The sequence below is a fragment of the Homo sapiens genome, chromosome 4 (assembly GCF_000001405.40).
Source record: "Homo sapiens chromosome 4, GRCh38.p14 Primary Assembly".
In the NCBI taxonomy this organism is placed as follows: domain Eukaryota; kingdom Metazoa; phylum Chordata; class Mammalia; order Primates; family Hominidae; genus Homo; species Homo sapiens.
The window spans coordinates 168,497,857-168,518,917 of record NC_000004.12 but is presented as its reverse complement, the minus strand read 5'-3'; the positions used below and the strand labels follow the sequence as shown (position 1 = coordinate 168,518,917).

Here is a 21,061-nt window from a genome sequence, read left to right as displayed (position 1 = left end):
TCCAGTTTCTTGAGCACATATTTATTGAGCACCTGTTACATGCCAGACACTGTTCTAGGCTCTGAGGACACAAAAGTGAGTAAAACAGATAAAGTCCTTACACCCAAGGATTTTATATTCTAGTGAAGGAAGAAAGACAACTACAAAAATCAAACAGATAAAATGTGCAGTGTATCACATGAGATCTATGGAGAAAAGCAAGAGAGTGGAATAGAGAGTAAGGTAGGCAGGACCTTTCTTTTACATAGAGTAGTTATAGGAGGCCATATTGTAAAGGTGATAGAGATATGGAGGGGATCAAGGATTTAATCCTGCAGATATCTGGGGAGAGAGATTTACAAACAGAGGGAGCAGAAAGTACACAGGCCCCAGACAAGAACAAGCCTGGTGGTGTGATGGAGGTGCAGCCAAGAACCCCACTGTGACTGGGGGAGTGGCAAGAGGTGAAATCAGAGAGATGAAGCCTGATTAGGATGTATAAGAACTATGGATTTTACTCGGACTAAGTGAGAAGCCCCTGGACGGTGTTCGGGCAGTGCTGTGATAGTGATTTCATGAAAAAGAATTACTCTGAGTGCTGTGTAGACTGTGATGAACAATAACGAAAGCAAGGAGATGGGTTGGAAGGTAATGCAAATAACAAAGAGACAGATGATGGTGGCTTGACGTGCAGCCTCATTTATGGAGGTGGGGTGAAGTGGTCAGATCTGGAGACATTAAAGGTGGTGCCAGCTGGATTTGCTGGATGAATTGGACTTGGGGTGTGAGAAAAAGAGGGATCGAGAATGGCTTCAAGGTTTTTTTCCTGAACAGCTGGAAGGAGGGTTGTCTTTTGTTGACATGGAGAAGATTTGGAAAGAGAAGGTTTTTGGAGGAGAGGAGAATCAGTTTAGTTTTCGACAAATTTGATAAGAGTATCAGACATCGATATAGTGGTGTCAAGTAGGCAGTTGTGTATCTATAAAGGCTTAGTGTATGCACATCTTAATTGTGTATCGTAAAACAGTTCTCCAAACTGGTTGTACCTATTTACATTTCATGTTGCAGTCACAACACGTGTATTGTCAGGATTTTTTCATTTTGATGATCTGATGGTATTATCTGGTATCTCATTGCTGACTATATTCTTTAACAACAACGATACTCCTGGGCTAAGCCATCTGGATCTTCACTTTACAAGCACTGAATATTCATAAACTATTGGCTAGTGGTGCTGTTGCTACATTTTCCGAAACCAAATCAGCCAAAAGATGGGAGATACCATATTTTCTTACCCTTAGTAAGAAAAGTAAATTCATGGCTTGTTTTTCTTCCTGTCGTTTTTGAGGAGATGGAAATTTTTACTGACAGAGTTGCATAGATTTGATATGGCTAATCCTCTTGTTTTGGCTTTTGATGATGATCAAAGTCTTGCTGATGTAAACTAATTGGAGGCATTGGACATGCTGTATTTCGATTATAAAAAGAAATAATTGTATTACTTTTAATTATATATAGTAAATAAAACTTTACAGGGCTAACAATGATGACCTAGTAGGTATCTTATGATTAGATATGAGTAATTGTATTTAGACTATTAAAGCACATTACTGGATTCCACTTTTACTACAATAAGTGGGTGTTTAAAAGTTTTTTTTGACATATGTACACATTTACCTTATATTAATAATATAAAGATGTGTTTGGACTACTTGTAGATAAAACAGGAATGCTTTGTTTTATTTGTAGTTATTTTCTGAATAATAACTTTATTTGTAGTAATTTGATTGAGAATAACATAGTTTCTTCCCATGTCCCAGTCCCTGTGTCTTGATCCTGCTTCCTGCTGCCATGTTTTCCTGTGGCGCATTCCCTGTGCGTCAGCCTGGACTTTTCCAATGGCCAATTGCCAAGCTCCTTGGCACCACACTTCACTCACCTCCCACTACAGCTGCCAACTACCCAACACTGAATGTTTCTACACTAACTATACCCACCTTAAAAAATATTTTCTGTTGATTGACCATGATTAACTTAATACAAAAAAAGGGAAGGATACCCATGAAGGGATTTGTTTTCTTTTTCCATAGAGAAAGATACTGGAAATTGCCAGGCTACCATTTTCTTTGAAGATATTTGGAATATGAATTCCAAGCGTAGATTTTTAAAGGTGGCAATTCCACTATCTCCATTTCTGGAGGCTTTCAGTAAGCTATGCATAACTTCTAACTCCACAGTGACAGTGGCTAAGTCTTCTCATTAACAACTGCAGCATGGGATCAAGAATCATAAGAGCTGAGTTATACTCCAGTCTCCATGACTAATGAATGATTTTTGTATTACTAGGCACATCATTTCACAGTTTTTGATCCCAGTCTCCTTACATTTAAATGGTTTAAAACATACAGTTGATAAAATATTTTTAAAGGTATAAATACCTTTAAAATAAATAAATAATACCTTTAAAAATAAATAAATACCTTTAAAAATATAAGGCCTCCTTTTTATAATACCGGAGGTAATTTTGAACTAAAATTCTTCACAAATTTTTTACTAACTCACAAAGTCAAGAGTGGAGAGAACAGGGAAGGTGAGTGATGTCAGGGAACAGGTCTTTATGCTGTTTGGAAGGAGTATATGAGAATATGGGACATTTGAGCATAAGCAGAGAAAAAATGAATTCTGACTTGATTTCATTTAATGTAGTAATTCAAATTGTTAATATAATTTGCATATCATGTGAATACTACCTCAATTGTATATAACGTCCTTTTTTATGCATAGGGTTTTCTTCTATCAGCTCTTCTTTCTCTTGTTGAGATTTTGTTGGATATGCAATAATAAAGGAGGAAAACATATTTTCAGTCCTGTTTGTAGTCATAAGTGGTGTTCACACAGTGTGAGAGGGTGAAGTGACTGCATGTGAAGTACAAATGCCTTGCCTTGAAGTGACTGGCCTGGTTTTACCCTGTTGTTTCTGTTACTTCTTCCCTGAGTGGGGGCTTCTTTATCCACATTTGTAAGGTTCATCATGCCAGCTTTCAAAAGCAAACAATCTCTGTTGTTTAATCTAAGCTCCAGCCAGCTGCTTAGTAGCCCAGGCATGTTAACCTAGCAATTGGTTTCCCTAATCTGGACCCAGTTGAGTCACTAAGATTCTGCTCTGTTCTTTTGTCTTTCTGGAGCTATGGTCCTAACTTTCACTTGCTTAAACTCTTGCAAGGTAAAGGTTTCTCCCCCGTGTTCCAGCTCCTGTATCTTGATCCTACTGTCTGCTGCCATGTTTTCCTGTGACGCATTCCCTATAAGTCAGCCTGGACCTTTCCATTGGCCAACCGCCAAGCTTCTTGGCACCATACCTCACTTACCTCCCAGTACAGCTGCCAACTACCCAACACTGAGGAGCGTCTCTGCTCTCACCAACCAGTGTCTCTTGGGCTTCTGCTTATGGCTTGCTTTAGATTCTCCTGACATCTCCTTGCCTCTCCACACGTCTGTCAACTGCTTCTGTGACCTCAGGAAATGGCCTGCCAATCAATAGGTCTGCCTAAGCTCCAGGTCCTAGGTCCTCTGGACTGACACAGTCTGAGTCAGGTTCTAAAATGCCCCATTGCAGGAAATCTTTAATAAAGGTTTTCTTCCTGATAGAAAATTTCCTTCAAAGATTTTCTCTTATGACTGTCATATGTCTCATGTGGTCAAAAGAGCTCAATGTTCTTAGGCGTCTGGTGCACTTACAAATACATGACAAGGAGGATCAAGATCTTTGGAACAGAAATTTAAAAAATCCAATGAGCATCTATGCTCTCCCTCTCAAACAAAAACAGCCTCCAAACCCAAAAAACTCTATAGGATACAAACATGACCAGCTAACTTTCAACAATGGAACATTTTATGAGACTTAATTATTCTAGAAGGGCATAATTTGTCAAGTTTGGACTTTCATAGACTGCAGAATAAGAGAAAACTAGTTAATAATACTGCAGATACTAACTAAATTAAATTTTAGTTCTGCTACCCCCAAAGAGGCAGAAGTGTGAATTTGATGACCCCTAGAATCACCAAATGGTTAAGTGAATTTTAATACAGTAATTATGGTCTGTTCACCTGAATTAATCCTTCAATGCTAAATGGACTGCTTTCTGTCATTTTTTAAAGGTTGTAGTATACTTCAAGGGTTATTTTGGAAGTAAATGTAGGTGGAACCATATGTAGTTTGAAAACCTGTGGAACTGTTTTGAGTGACATGAGAATGAATGTCTAATGAAAATTATTTATTTGCAAGATTGATAGGTTAAAAAATCTAAATAGAATCTGAAACATTCATTTCTGTCAAAGGTAAAATGTAAGAAACAAATTCTTCATGTATATAAATCTGTATAAATAATCTACATAAATAACATATAAATGCAGAATTTAGAACGACATATTTAATTAAATGAACACATGAAAAAGTTTTTTACTGCCCCCTGCTGTCAGTTTCTTAAAGAATTATAGTAAAATTACTGTAAAGCTGACTCAAAGTGAATTAGTTGAACAAATTGGTCGGGGGAAAAAAATCGCCCACCTGTAATCACACCACTTTTCAGCCAGTAATGCTAATTTTTACTTCATGTGTGTGCACAATGAGGTCAGATTAAGAAACCAACACTAGCAAAGCTTGTGTTAGTGAGCAAAGGATCAGAGATACAGGGAAGTTTGTGATCTGTGAAATGCTATTAGTAAGAAAGTACCAGTGTTTCAATTCAATCTTTAGCCAGTGATGTCTACTTTACCATTTTTTTCCAAATCAAATAATTTTCAGTTAACTTTTTTTTTTTCTTTTTTTGAGACAGAGTCTCGCTCTGTCACCCAGGCTGGAGTGGAGTACAGTGATATGATCTTGGCTCACTGCAACCTCTGCCTCCCAGGTTCAAGTGATTCTTGTGCCTCAGCCTCTTGAGTAGCTGGAATTACAGGCACTCGCCTCCATGCCTGGCTAATTTTTTGTATTTTTAGTAGAGAGGGGGTTTCACCATGTTGGCCAGGCTTGTCTCGAACTCCTGGCCTTAGGTGATCTACCCACCTCAATCTCCCAAAGTGCTGGAATTACAGGCATGAGCCACTGTGCCTGGCCCTTGAGTTAACTTTTTAAATATTTATGTAATTTAGGTAAAGCATTCTGCATGAATAAAAGCAAAACTTCCCAGATAAATGAATATTCATTATTTGTGTAGTATAATCCTGACTTGTTATTTTCATTTTGCCATATAAAATTAAGAAATGAGAAATAATAAAGATAATAGGTAACACTACTGCAGCAGTTACTAGCTGCAAGGTACTGCTTTAATTTTCCCCATGTATTATTTAATCATAAAACAGAATGATGTAGGTATCATTATACTTCCCATTTCACAGATGAAGAAACTGAGTCACAGAGGGGTAGAGTAACTTGGGCAATGGAATCATGACTGGAAACCCTGCAGGGGGACTCCAGGATCTCTTTCCCCTTAACATTTTTGCTCAGGGGAAGGTATAAACTCTACAATGAAGTCAGAAGAATGTATAGAAATTCTAATGAACATGGTGGTATGAGTGCCTATTAACTCTAAGTGCATACTCCCTTCACTGTTATTTCTTGCTGTCTCCATGCTCTAGTGGCCAGAGCCTGTGTAGGAATAACGGGCAGACCTGCGGAGCTCCTGACTTGATTTATCTTTCTTTCTTAGGAAAGTTCTGCCTTCCTTCTTTGCATCACATTGAAGGGGTGTGTGTGTGTTTATGTTACTGAATATGTGCCTATTTAGTCCATGCCTGAGACTAGATTATCCATTTGGGGGATAATTTTTGTTTGGTTTTTGTTTCTTGTATATGAGAATCTTTTTTTTTTTTCTTTCCAACTTTTACATTCGGGGATACGTGTGCAGGTTTGTTACATGGGTAAATTACATGTTGCAGGGCTTTGGCATACAGATTATTTTGTCACCCAGGTAATGAGATTAGTACCTGATAGGTAGTTTTTTGATCCTCAGGCTTCTCCTACTCTCCCCCCTCAAGTAGGCCTCGGTGTTTATTGTTCCCTTTAATGCGTTATTGGGGGCTAATCTGAAGGTTGGCCTCTACACACTCGTGCCTTTCACTTCTAGATAGCAGCTAGTTTTAGCCATGCTTTCAACCGTCTTTAGCAACTCATATTCAAATATACACACACTTTTCACAGTACTTCGAGTAAATAAGTTTCACATCTTAAGTGTGCCTATTTGTTACTAGTTCCACCATCTTAGAGAACAAACTGTTTCCACTGCTCTTTGCCTTCTCAAGTCCTTTGCCTTCCTTCCTTAGCACAGAGGGTGCATGACCACAGATATATCAGGCCAGGGACAACTAGGACAACTCATAGTGGCGATTCTGGGCTGCTTCTCTCCTTGCAAGTACTCTACCTCAGTCTCCAGAGGGCTAATGACACAGGAAATCTTTCTTCCTCCCATATTAAAGTAACACCAAAGTCAACAAGATCATTTGCTATGCATAATACAAAAATTCATACCTGACTCGAGGAGTGGGGTTTCCAGTGACTCTACACTCCAGATAAACTCGGCTCCCTTCTGCTACTTCTTGGCTCCTCAGCTTTTGGATGAATCGAGGTGCAGCTGGGAAGTGGAGGGCGCTGTGGGGCTGTGGGTGAGACTTGCGGTTGTGTGGCACTGCCAAGTCCTGGTTGTCCTGGTAGCAATGCCTGGCCCCAGGGGACTTGACCTCTCTTTCCATCTCCCCTTGGTCTTCCATAGGGCTCTGGCTGGCTGAGGCACTCAGCAGGGCTGACGGCTGATTTTTAGGAGACAGGTACCCACTGTCTGGTGACGAGGACTCCCCATTTGGGCTTCTGTTTCTTGGCTTTGCGGCTTTAAATATGGATGTTAGCTCCTCAATTAAATTAGCTGCCTTGTCACACAGCTGGCTCTGGGGGCCACCCTTTCTTTGATGTGGCGTTTTGGGCTTTACGTTTGTGCTGGGAGTTTTTGCACCACGCTTTTCAGCCTTTCGGAGGCTCCGGATGTAGCTGGGCCTGGTGAGCAGGGGTGACATGGCAGGTTTCCTCTTTGAAACAGGTGAAGAGATACTCTTAGTTTGTTTCTCTGCCAGAGGCTGGACAGGTGTTGACCTGTTATCCTGAGGTCTCCTCGAGGCGTGTTCACCCAATTTGGTCTCCTTATGGGAAGGATGTTCACAGAGGCTTGCAGGAGAAGTACTGAAAATCTGCGAGATCTCCTTTTCCGAGTCAAAATCTTCTGTTTCGGAGTCGGCTATGGCTCTCCGGGCCAGGTCAAGACTCTTGTTTATCTCTTCCTGGCTGAGGAAAGCAGAAAGGCCCGGGAAGAAGTCAGTATTCTTGCTTTCTTCCTGCATGTCTGAGAGGGAGTCATAGAAGGACTCATGGGAGGAGGTCCCTGACATATTTGAACGGTCTTCATGCACTCTGTGTCTGCTTTCAGTAGGAAGGCCAGAGGCACTGGAAACTGTTTTCTGAAACTGTGTTCTGAAAGACAGCATAGAATGTCATTAGTAGCAATGATTTTTTCCCCATTTTAATCATAAAACTTGTAAGTCACAAATTGGGAGAAACATTAAAGTGAATGAATATAAGTTTTCTTTATTTTACAAGTTGGAAGAAATATCAAGTATACTTGTGTTGATCATTTTATGATTTTAATACATGCCCTGTGAGTGCTATCAAATATCTCACTAGGCAGTATTAAATCATTCAAAAAGATGATGTGTGCAGTAGGCACTATTAGTAGGATAGGGCTCACAGTCAGCCCCCCGCCCACCTTACTCAAACTCTAATTGATTAATGTAATGAGATCAATAGAATATTGATATTTTTAGTAAATCTGACTCTGATTATCCAACCCTAAACCACAAAATGCATTTTAAGGATTCCAATTTTCATTTATTTATAGTTTTCAGTGAAATCTTTGAAACTTTATTGTCTCCAGTTATGTGCATTCATATTCATTCACTCAACAGTCCAACAGATGGTAATAATCACTTATTAAATTTCAGGTGCTGGAAGTACAGCTGTGCTGTATGCCAGGGATGGGCAAACTTTTCTGGAAAGGGCCAGATGGTAGATACTCTTGACTTTGTGAGCTGTTCAGCCTCTATTATAATTACTCAACTCTGCATGAGCATGAAACCAGCCAAAGATGATGGAAATGAATGAGCATGACTGTGTGCCAATAAAACTTTATGGACACTCATATTTGAATTTTATATCATTTTAATGTGTTAAAACTATTATTATTTTGATATTTAATTTTTAAACAATAGTTTTAAAATGAGAAAAACATTCTTAGTTTGCAGGGCATACAAAAAGGGTTGGGATGGATTTGGCTCAGGGGCTGAAATTTGCTGACCCTTCATCCAGACTTACAGCACAGTTATCATGTTCAAGGAGTTAAAAGTCATGGGAGGTAGTAAAGTGGAGGAGATAGAGAAGATATTAAACAAATAATATGTTAATAATATAAAATTTTGATAAGGCTTTTAAGGAAAGTGAGAAAAACCTGGGGGCTATGAGAGTCTAATCTAATCTTAAAGGGCATGAGATAACTAGAGGCCTGGCATAGAACACTTACATGGGAATATCAGCAGAATTAAATAAAAGGTATTTCATTATCTGTAAGCTATTACAGCTTTAAATTCCACTGACATTTTGAACTTTATATTGTGAAGCAATGACTCCTTGTTACTCTAAGTGTGCCATTCTTTTGCTATATATTGTTCATAGAGTACTGAGAGGGACGATCTAGAAAACATCAGCGGTGATGTCTGCCACAAGACTGAGTCTAGGAGTGAATAATGGAAGCTTCCTGGATGTGGTGAACCTCAACTTTCTACCTTGTGTCAGTCAGGAGTAAACTTGGTGGGACATTCCCCAGAAATGGTGTGTCTTCAGAGGACTGAATTGAGTTGCTTGCGTAGAAGTATCTTCCCATCTAAGAAAATCTCTAATTTCAAAATACATTATGCAAGAGTCGAGGGGGTTGTAGAAATCCAGCTCAAGAGCCTACTGCTTCACTGGATGCAGTGAGTCATAGACCTGCTGTTTAACAGAGGGTAGTTAATCAGAGATCCTGAAACTCAATGTTAACATACCCCATCTTCTTAAGTGGAATACTGTACTTTTGTCTTACATGTCTTCTTAGAAAGATAGTTACTTTTTTTGTGCCTGAATTATTAGATTCACCACATGCTAGCCCTACTCTATCTACTGAACCATATTTCGCACTCTTCTTCAAGTAAATCCTTAATCCTTCAGAGGGTGTCATCATTCTCCCTGACTTTACTAACCCAAATATCACTCTAATTCCTTTGTCCAGTCTGTGCTGCAGGATAGAAACATCCTGACTGGTCTCCAGTTATTCAGATATGGCTCGTATATGAGGAACAATTATATTCAGTGTATTTTTAATACTTGAATGTATTTTCTTCATGAGAAACAGGCAGTTAAAGTATGATTTTGAAAAGGCAAAGGTATAGTAATATATAAAAATCAAATAACATGTATTTGAGCTTTTATTTAACAATTGAAAAAATCAGTAATATATTACAATTATTTCAAAGGAGACGCTGAAGATGAGACACATGTAGGCAATCAGGCATGCTGATATGAAGTTGGTAATAGATTTGAAACTGGTTAATATCTATAGAGCAATAAAATACAATGTTTGGAATCATAAGAGTGGAAAACTATAGCATTTCTACTAGAAAAAAAATCATTTGTATATCTATGCACCAGTATAATTTGCATTGTTTTTAGATTTTTCCAACTTACAGAGTTGTAAAATTGTAAAGACAATAAAAGGCATAGACCCCTGTGGAATTAGATGACCCTGGAACGTCCACCAGAGCCAATCCAGCAATGGTACTGGGTGTCTATTGCAAGGACACCCAGTACCATTTTGTATATTGCAAAACGTTTTATAGTTTGTCCTACCAAGGCAGCCTGGTTTCTCTCAGTAATGAGCTCTGAAGTACAATTGGCCCCTCAGTCAGCACACATGGTAGATAACTTTAGGGGAAGCCAGGATCAGGATCAACTCTTACAAGGTGTGGGGAGATGAGCCATTAGGTAACATGGATCCAGAAGAGACATGAAGGTGGAGAGGGGGAGACTCGGGGGCTGAAAGTAGGTTTGTGTACCAAAGGCACAACAGACTATATTTTCATTTATTGCATTTCTTGTAAAATTTATTTTTCTTTGAAAGAAAGCTACTGTGTTTTTTATTTGTTATTTATTTATTTATTATGGCCTGAAAGAAATTCAGTTTTTGTGTTGAAATCAGTGCTAAAGGAGATTGAAAAACATTTTGTGTCAACCAAACCTGTGGTAGATTAAGCTGAAAATCCAAGGAAATAATTGCAACAAAACCTTTGATTCTTGACATGACGAAATTGTGAAGCCTAAGCTGGGATAGATGTACTACATGGACCAGAATTACCCACTCGAAGTGTATTTATGGACTATCTACCACATGCCTGGTAGTGCGCTAGGGACGGGGATATGACCTTGAAAAAGAGAAGGTTTTTGCCCTCATGGAACTTAATACAAATTACAACTAAATAATAAGCTTATATAATTGAGTATGTCTTTTTTTAAATTGTATTTTATTTTTTAAATTGACAAATAATAATTATACATAATTATGGGGTACCTAGTGATGTTTCAATACGTACAATTTATAGTGATCAGATCAGGGCAACTAGCATATTCATCTCTAACATTTATGATTTCTTTGTGTTGGGAACATTCAACATCTTCCTTCTAGCCATTTGAAACTATAGAGTATGTTATTGTTAGCTATAGTCATCCTGCAGTGGTATAGAAAAACAAAGTGCTGTGATAGCACCTAGAAGCAACAGCAAGGTCAGGATCAGGAAACCTTTGTGAAAGAGAGAAAGCTGAAAGAATGATGTGTGAGGGATGAGGAAGAGCGGGGAGGTGAAGAGGATACTGGCAAATATGTATTTTAAGACTTGGATCCCAGAGAGCACATGGCAGACTCAGGTAATTCTACTAAGCATTTCAGCTAAACAGAAATCTATCTGGAGATGGGAAAATAACCAGAGATAAGGCTAGAAAGCAGGAGTTAGGTCAGAGAGGGCCTGGAGCCATGCAGAGAACTTGCATTTTATGTTATGGGTAGTCAGTAGGCAAGGAAGAGTGTTAAGTCCTTGAGAAACATCACCAGACTTACATTTTTGAGAGATAACTGATTGCAGTCTGGATCCGGGACAGAGGTAGGGAAAGAGGAAGACAAGACTGACAGTAGGGCGGTCCGTGAGAAGGCTTGTGCAGTAATCCAGGGGGTGCACACATTTATCATGGTTTCACGTTTGGTGTTGCTGTCATCTGGACGTCTTCATTTTGGAGAATTCCTCATATTCTGAGGCTCAGTGAGAAACTGAACTCACTTGTAATGGGATGTGAAATCTCCAAGTATTTTCTTTCCCAGCCGCTTGGAGACTGGGCACAAGTCTTGGCACTTGGCCTAGACAGCGATTAGATGTGTCCTTCTTGGACTCTGAAGTGAGAGCTGGTGATTCAGGGAAGCAGTGGGTCCAGGGTCCATAAGATAGATGATAGAAAGGAAAGAACTTGGTAATTGATTAAAGGCAGAGGTGATGCAGAGGCAGGGTTACAGGTTTCTCACCTCAACAACCAGATGACTGGTACCATTAACTTACATGCTACAAGTGGAGGAACAAGTTTTTTTATTTTATTTTATTTTATTTTTTAAGCTTGATTTTGATTTGAGCCTTTTGCAGTTGAGGGACCTTTGGTAACTCTGGTGTTGATGTCTAGGAGATTTGAGATGCTGATCTAGAGCCCAGGAGAAGGGAGAACAGAGCTGGATTGGGGATTATTAGCCTATGGGTGGCACTTTAAGACATGGGAATGCATAAGGTCATCGAGGAAAAAAGAAGGAGAAGATAGAATCCTTCGAATAATCACAGGGAAGCAAGAAAAGCTAGATATCGTGGAAGCTGGGAAAGAAAATATCTCAGGAAGCAGTACATGTCCTTTTGATTTTTGATTTTAGCAACTTGGGAATATTTAGCACCATTGCAACAGCACTTTCGGTGTATGCAACAGAAATATAAGCCAGATTGCTACATGGAAGGAAAGGAAAGAAGGAAAGAAAGAAAATATTACAGGTGTGGTGGTTTGTTTTGAAAAGATCATAGAAAGAAGGAGAGACAGAAGGTAGTAGTTGAACAAAAGTATAGACTCTGGTGAGGTTTGTTCATTTTTAGGATAGAGCGCTGTAACATGTTTTATACAAACCAAATTAGGCAGTAAGAAGGGAGAAGCTGAAAATAAATGTAAAAAAGCGGGGATGATTTATAGGTCAGCTCTCAAAAGATGTAAGAAGAAATGAGTTATTATAGGACAAACGGAGTATGAGGTGTTCAGCTTCCAGTAGGAAGGGGGCAGTTCTTTCATTGTTAAAGGAGAGAAGTAACAAAGGGTGTATGTGTGTTGGGGCATGGGGGGCGGTAAGAGAGAAAGGGAGAGAGAGAGAAACATGAGATTCTCTGCAAAATTTGTAATAGAAAGAAAGGAGAGTTCCCAAACTGAGACTTCTGTGCATTGGAGGTTTATGAGGACAGAAGATGATTTGAAATAGCTGTTGTAGAAAAAGGGGGAAGGAAGTTTTGTAAGAAGGATTTATGGGTAGAGGTGAGGGCCTGGTTGAAGTTAGATGTGATGTATTTATAGTGTCATTAATCTGTGTGATTGTGCAATTCTCTCCACCAGAGCTCAGCCATCCAGGTGAAGGTACAGAGATAGATGATCCCAGTTTGACATGCAGGTAAAATGGGAGGGAAGTGGGCAAGGCCATTGAAAATATGGTCAAGGAATAGGTGGCCTTTGACATATATGCTGGGTTGGAATTCATGGGTAGGAGTTTGAATGTAGAGATTGTCTTTGTTTTTTTGAACCAATGTCAGAGTTGAGTAGTTGCAACAGAGACTATATGGCACATGAAGTCTAAAATATTTACCTGCACTTTTACAGGAAAAAATTGCCAACCCCTTCTATAGAACATTAGCTACCTAATGACTTCATATAACACATATAAAGGCAATTAATGATCACGATGATTGATAATGATAATGGCTAATAATGGACTGCTTACCCTGCGGTGGGCATTGTGCCCAGAGTCATCATGTAGATTATTTCATTTAAAACCCTCACAGCAGCCTCTGGTTTAGAAAGGAGGAAATGGAGGCAGAAAATCTGAGTGGGAGAACCAAGGTTTAAGCCCAGGGAATAACTCCAGAGCTCATGTTCTATGCACTTTACCATCTTACCATTGTAGTTTTCATAATTGAGAATCCTAAGCAATGTATCAAACTAACAAAACTGTGGATCAGAAATCAGAGTTCTGCTATTAATTCAATTGCTTTTTAGTTCCAAATGAACATAATATGATACATTTTAAAACTTCACAAGGAGCATTATATAACAAAGCTTAAAGCAAACTTCTGAATGATGAAAACATTTTCAATTCTTAATGTAGGGAGTGTTTGCTGGAGGCAGATTATCTCACCTGCTTATTAACTCATATTTTGGTTTTAAAGAGGCGCCATCTGACAGGATCCAGTAGTCAGGATTAGGTGTAGCTTTAAAACTGCTTGCACATTGAAAAAGAAAATAATAGTTCTATGGCATATCTGGTTCAGGCTTAATTTGCAAGCCAGTTATTGCCGCGGGAACATGCACGTGGTCTAGGGAAAATGCTCATTCAATGAGGATGAACAAGGGCGGTTTCCAAGCGGGCCAAGTTCACTGGAAAATTGTGCTTCAGAGATTTCCATGTCAGTCAGCACTCCAAAATGAAAAGGTCAAAATCAAAAGGAATGAAACACAATCACAAACATCTCCATCATTTGCCTGAGATTTCATGTTTTCTGTCAAACAGTGCTCTTGGTAATTCTATGCCGGTGTGATAGACACAGAAGATGAAATAGACTAAAAAGACCCACTAATACTGCTGTTAATGAGTGAAGAGGAAATGAGGTAAACACCAACGCCATTAAAGTGGTTCTACTTTAGTAAGTAGCATTGAAAGATTTTGAAATTTTGAAGAATAAAGGATTCTTTGGCATCTTTAAATTGTCCTGTCCCCTGCCTCCTCACTTTTCTCAGAAGGAATCTGAATTTCCTAGAAATTCTTCTGTCTTCTTCTTTTTCTCATCCTTGTCTTATCCATCATCTCCAGCTTTAGCAGTTTAGCTTAATTGTCATTTTCCCTAAAACGCTCATTAGCCACAGCCATTTTTTTTTTTTTTTTGAGTTGGAGTCTTGCTTTGTCGCCCAGGCTGGAGTGCAGTGGCATGATCTCAGTTCACTGCAAGATCCACCTGCCGGGTTCAAGAGATTCTCCTTCCTCAGTCTCCCGAGTAGCTGGGGCTACAGGTGCCTGCCACCACTCCCAGCTGATTTTTGTATTTTTAGTAGAGACAGGGTTTCACCATATTGGCCAGGCTGGTCTTGAACTCCTGACCTTGTGATCTGCCCACCTTAGCCTCCCAAAATGCTGGGATTACAGGTGTGAGCCACCATGCCTGGCCAACCACAACTGTTTTTTAATTTGCTTGAAGTTGCGTAGCATTATGTTCTTCACCATGGAGGAAATGACTCTTCCTTGGCCTCGCCCATCTTACAGTCATGCTTCCTTTCTTCTACTTCCCTTTCCTGGAATAGTAAGTTGAACATGAAATCAACGGAACAACTGCTTAGTTGTGCAAGAGAAGCTTCAAGGAGGACAAAGATGAGGCAGGCGTAGTTATTCTCCTTAAATGATCTTACAATCCAGTAGGAGGGATTAGACAAGAGTAAAAAATAACTCAGTTACAAGGAGGAGCGTGATAATTTCTATTAAAATAGTTTCAACAAATTGCAGTAAGGGATAAAAATGGTAAGAGAGATCATAGGTACAAATTGTGTCACGTCACTCTTTTGGTTTTTATTTTTTTCCTATGATGCTCCCCGGCTGATGAGAAAAGTTCCAAAGCACGATGTGCAGGTTAAACATACCCGTGGACAGCCTGAGCTGATGGAAATGCTCCAGCCTCACCCTCTGTCATCACCAACACACATGCACTCAGGCCTCCCTGGCCCACTCACCATTCCTCAAACAATTCAGATTCTTTCTGGTTTTCACACCTTTGCACTTGCTGCTCCTTTTGCTTAAAATGTGCTTCCTTTCTCTTTTTCTTTTTCTTTTTTTTTTTTTTTGAGATGGAGTCTCGCTCTGTTGCCCAGGCTGGAGTGCAGTGGCTCCATCTTGGCTCACTGCAACCTCCGCCTCCCAGGTTCACACCATTCTCTTGCCTCAGCCTCCTGAGTAGCTGGGACTACAGGCGCCCACCACCATGCCCGGCTAATTTTTGTATTTTTAGTAGAGACAGGGTTTCCCCTTGTTAGCAGGATGGTCTCGATCTCTTGACCTTGTCATCCACCCGCCTTGGCCTCCCAAAGTGCTGGGATTACAGGCATGAGCCACTGCATCCAGCCCTCTTTCTGTTTTTCAAACTCCGGTTCATCCTTGAAAACTTTCTTAAATTTTACCACTTTTTGGTGCTTTCTAACAGTTCCCCAATCAATATAATTTGCTTCTTCTTCCAAGCATGTTACTTTGCATTGCGTTTCTCACAGCAGTCATCATATTAAATTACAAGTATTTGTTTAGAGAATGCTTTCCTCATTCAACTGTGAGCCCAATGGAAGCAGGAGCTGTGACTGGCGTCTTTGTATGGCAAATGCTTAGCACACTGGGTTACAGCAGCTGATGGAGAAAAGCTAAGAAATACCGGGTGTTTGAAATGTGGTTTGAGCCCTGGATAGGATTTGACACACATGTGAACAAAGGCACGAGGCAGGAAATGTTCTGATGACTGATTTGCTTTCAGCCTCCCAGAACCTGCTGCGACATTTCTCTGGGACATGCTCTCTTCAGCTAAGTGTTATTCTGCTCTTTTGAGTGAGGGTCTCATTCTGTCTCCCGGCCTGGACTGCAATGGCATGATCATAGCTCACTGTAGCCTTGAATTCCTGGGCTCAAGGGATCCTCCTGCCTCATCCTCCTGAGTAGCTAGAACTACGCGTGTGCATCGTCAGGCCTGGCTAAATTTTAAAATATATTTTTGTAGAAACGAGGTCTCCCTTTTTCGCCTATGCCAGTCTCAAACTCCTGGACTCAAGGGCTCCTCCTGCCTTGGCCTCCCAAAGTTCTGGGATTACAGATGTGAGCCACTGAGTGCAGCTAAACATTATTCTGCTCTTAAACTAGGTTTTTCTTCTGTTTTATCAACTGTTGCTTGTGTCCCGGGCTCTGTTTTCTGGTAAAAACTTGATAGAGTAATCAGTGCTAAATGTTAGTGTATACATATAACACATAACTGTTTGTGTCTACATATAAAATACACTTTACCTGCTCATTTCGCTAAAGCAAAATCAGTCATAGGTCAGACATTGTGTTAAAAAAAAGTATCTATAAAGACGTGGATGTCAGTCTTTCTCATTACCCTCAAAGAAAGTTTCTCATGAAAAAATTTGGAACTAGAAAAGCATTTATTCTATTTTCTGGCAATTCTGTTAGACAAAGAATTCTGTAAACTTTGATGACTCTTTCACACGGATACTAGCAAGCTCAGGGTTAAATTTCCAGTCATAGAAATTCAGATGTTTTTAGCTAAAAAAAAAATTTATTTTGCTTACTTTTCTCATTGTTTTATTCAGTCAGCATTTATTTATTGAGTGCCTACTATGTGCTAGGCACCTCTTTCATAGGCCAGGGACATAGCTGGAAAGAAGATAGATTCTCTGTCCTAGGGAGTTAAGATTCTAAGAAGAGAAAGGACAAAGGTAGTAAATTGAGAAAACATTTCAAGTTCAAAGCTTTTTATACTTGGTTTGATCTGCATTTTCTTAATTGATTTTGGGCAATTGTACTATGCTTTTATTGCATACAGCCTCAAACTAGCTTTGAAAGTTGTTAGGGTGCAGACATATAAGATAAAATGAAGTGCACATTCGCATGTTAATGTTCACATCTACAGACCACTGTTGTTTTGGGGGGCACACCCTTGGCGGGGAGGGTGGTGAAAGTCACAAGAGGAGAACATGCTCAGGTCAATGGTCCTTTAGGTTCCTTCAGAGTGTACCATGGGGGCAGCTGCCATGTCACCTCATGGCGCTCTGAAGGGAAATTCTCCCAGGTGAATTTCAACATGTGCCTAATGCCAAACTCTTCATCTTAAGCAAACATTTGGTGAAGCAAAGGTTTGGGAGGGTTGGCAAATATTGTGAGTCATTACAGAATCCTATCAACCTTGAATTGTCAACAGGCAGCTTATATCCTTATAAGCATCTTGGCTTATCCTAAGCAAATATTGCTTTCAAAGGTAAATGTCCACGGTGACCTATTTTGTTAACTCCCTGGGCATATCTCATTCTTCTTCTTCTCTTTTCCTTTCTTTTCAATTTTGCCCCTGCTGTAGTAGTGCGATGGTGTGATCATAGCTCACTGCAACCTTGATCTAGTGGGCTCAAAGGATCCTTTTACTTTAGCTTCCCAAGTAGCTGGGACTACAGGTGCATGTCACCAAGTCCTGCTAATTCTTTTTTATTTTCTGTAGAGATAGGGTCTCCTTTCATTGCCCAGTATTGTCTTGAACTCTTGGCCTCTGCAATCCTCCTGCCTCAGGCTCCTGAGTTGCTGGGATTACAGGCACAAGCCACCAGGCCTGGCTATTTCATTCTTTCTTAAGGAATTTTATGTCACTTAATTTATAGATTAATTTTAATTGTAATTTTATGGTTCGCAACTTCTCCCTAAGTTAGTGTCATCTGAATTCTGTTAGATTCATGGTATACTATAAAATATAGAACATATAAATAAGTTTTCATTGGTATGTATATTACACATTTGACATAAGTAATTTTGTGAATCTTATCTTGGCATGACTATCCTAATATTTGGCAAAACATTTATTTTTTAGATCCTGAATATGTACTATAGGCATAAATGTATATGGTTCACATTCATATATGAATATACAAATGATAGAAAAAATAGACAAATTTAAAAATTATGACTACCATTTGCCTTTAAAGTTGCTGACTTTTGGGGATAGATTACCTGAAAGCCAGCTCTATGATATTTGGGAGAATCCTCTATGTTGTCAGTTAAGAAATATTTATAGGGGGCTGGGCATGGTGGCTCACATCTGTACTCCCAGCACTGTTGGAGGCTGAGGCAGGAAGATCGCTTGAGCCCAGGAGTTCAATACCAGCCTGGGCAACATAGTTAGATTTCATCTCTACAAAAATACAAAAAAAAACCCAAAAACTTAGCTGAGTGTGATGGTGTGTGCCTGTAGCCCCAGCTACTCCAGAGGCTGAGGTGGGAGGATTGTCTGAGTCCAAGAGTTCTAGGCTGCAGTGAGCGATGATCAGGTCACTGCATTCCAGCTTGGGCAAAAGAGTGAGACCCTGACTCAAAAAACAAACAAACAAGACTTATGGGACCACCCCCTGGCATGATCCCCATGAATCAAGGCACTATTGACTGTTGAAATTACAACAGATTTCTTTGACGTGGAGGAACTTGGGGAAGACAAGGAATATACATGAGAAAGAGCAGAGTCTAGTAAGTAGAAAGAATTCAGTGACAATGCAAGTTGTTCCTACATAACAGCTTGGAAGTTACCTGCTTTCAAAAGTGAACAGTTTGATCCTCAGAACAATCCATGTAGTAGATGTTATTTTTCTATTTTATTGTTTGTATTACCCACAACTGCAGCAGAAAAAGTTTCAATTATTTGGCCCAACCTGAGCCATCAGAAAGTGGCAGACTCAGGGTGGAAGCCTGCATTTAACTGCAAAGTTTTCTTCTCTCATTGGAGATATTATAGGAAATTACTTTAAAAATTTAGATAAGGGGAAAACTTTTGAAGTCTGTTTGTGAAATACTTTGAGTCGATGAAGAACTGCTACAATTTTGAAAGAAAAAGTTTGATGTTAGAAAAACATTGACAGGCAGTAAGGATCACTTAATACCATGTACCACATTCAGCAGATTCTTTAGAGAGTCCAGGTGGAATAGCTAAATTCCCATAGTCATTTAAAAATGTATACATAGATAGGAATAAATATATGAAAATGGTTGGAATAACATACACCAAACAATCAACACTGACCTCTGTGGGGGGATTTAGGCAGGGGTAGGAGTTGAAAGGTGGGACATGCAGGGGGATCTTTTGTTGCTTATTTTGTAATTTTTGAAAAAAAGTTATAAGTGATTTTTAATTTTAGGTTTAGCAGTTTTATTTTCATATTTAAGCAATTACTAAAAAAGTAATGCAAACCATTGATACAAATATTAGATATTGAAATATCTTTTAATAAAACCTAAACTATGAAAACCAAAGTTAGAAAAGCTTTAACACTTAATTTTCATGCTTCAGAATCACAGGCAACCCCCCTAGACTAAATCAATAAAGTCCCTCCCTTCCTCCCTCCCCCCTCCCTCCCTTCTGCCTCCCTTCCCCCTTCTTCCATGTCTCCCTCCCTTCCTCCCTCCCATCCTCCCTCCCATCCTCCCTCCCATCCTCCCTCCCTTCCTCCCTCCCTTCTCCCTTCCTTCTTCCCCGTCTCCCTTTCTTTCTTCCTTCCTTTTTTTTTTTTTTTTTTTTTTTTTTGCTACAAAGGGTCCTTTAGGGCAAAAGTCAAACACGAAAATTTTATGAAATTTTATGTTTGATGCAGAAAATGCACTACAATTTTATAATTTATTTCTTAATAAATACACATGGATTATTTTCCTTTCTAATTATTAAATTGTCAATGCAGGCAGATATATTTATCCTACAGTTTTAAATATCTCTTTAAACAGCTTATTTAATCTCAATTTCAAGGACATAATCTAATAGCTCATTTAATGCAGAAACAGCCAAATAAGATACTTTACAGAGTTTTTGAAGTTATCCCATGTCCTGTTCATCTTATCAACTTTATTCACCATACTGAGTCCATTGCAAATATTTAGATTTTACTTCTGAATTATCCATTTCCATTACCATTATCCAATTCAGGGCTTTATTCTTCTCACTTAAATTCAAAACCTATTTACCAAATTTGCTTCTATATTCTCTAATATGATTTAACAGTTAGAAATTTTAGTCGAAGATACTTTGTTCAATCTTTGTTTTCTTTGCTGTAATTTCACCGGGACACAGTCATTAACTCTAGATGGCCTGAATTTCTAACTGGAGCTCAGTAATTGCAATACCCTTTGACAGCCTCCACACACATATTGTTTAAGAAGTGGAGCTCTTGTCTGGGCCTTGCAGATTCCACTTGGTATCTCTTAAAGAACTTGTCATATTTATTTTTAAACCTGAATAATGATTGCCCTCTACATTTTTAAAAAATGAGGTAAGGAGGTCAAAGTGATTGTACTTGTCCAGTGCAATCCAGATCCTCATTCTATTGTGAAATATGCTATAAGGCCAGTTTTAATATTCAGCTCTAGCAATAACAGAGAAACCCAGAGGAAGAGCTGACACAGAACCCCTGGGATACAGACCCTAATCCATACCAGATTCTAGGATGCCAGAGGACTAATTTATATTCTAGGAATGTGTAATCATGTATTTACAGGGCAGTTAGTGGCCAGATAAACCTCATCGGCCTTTTCTGCTGTTAGCAATAACTTGTCAAAGAGACTTTGATTTTAAAAATCTGAAAAAAAAATCTGAATAATTGAGGTGAGTATTCAAGTTCTTTCTGTGAGAAAAAACATTGGAAGGCACATTTATCATGAAATGAGGATTTAATTTCTGCATATATGTGATTGAATAGATTTGTAATAGTTTTATATTGCCAAGAAATGGCTTTATATGTCACCACATTATTCATACTAGAAGGCAATTAGTATTTTTAGCAAATGTTAATAAGTAATATGAGCCTGAAATCATTTTATGTCAACCTCCTATATTGGATTCAAGACAATTTCATGTGCAA

At 39.1% G+C, this 21,061-nt stretch overlaps 1 protein-coding gene and 1 long non-coding RNA gene across 13 annotated transcripts in view; one reads left to right on the top strand and one right to left on the bottom strand.

The window, feature by feature from the left end:
• LOC107986198 (uncharacterized) overlaps window positions 1-21,061 on the top strand; it is a 44,091-nt gene that overhangs the window by 11,923 nt on the left and 11,107 nt on the right. The gene's annotated exons all lie outside the window — the stretch shown is intronic.
• PALLD (palladin, cytoskeletal associated protein) overlaps window positions 1-21,061 on the bottom strand; it is a 431,390-nt gene that overhangs the window by 409,524 nt on the left and 805 nt on the right. For 9 of the 12 annotated variants that reach the window (XM_011531768.3, XM_011531769.3, XM_011531771.3 and 6 more), the window contains exons 2-3: window positions 11,220-11,558; window positions 6,506-7,495 (exon numbers count right to left, since the gene is read on the bottom strand). The exons of 1 other annotated variant lie outside the window; for it this stretch is intronic. In XM_011531768.3, coding sequence (XP_011530070.1) covers window positions 6,506-7,495; window positions 11,220-11,341 — 1,112 coding nt within the window. In that variant the 5' untranslated portion in view covers window positions 11,342-11,558. The remainder of the gene's footprint in view (window positions 1-6,505; window positions 7,496-11,219; window positions 11,559-21,061) is intronic. 2 more of the 12 variants (NM_001166108.2, NM_016081.4) reach the window with 1 other exon arrangement.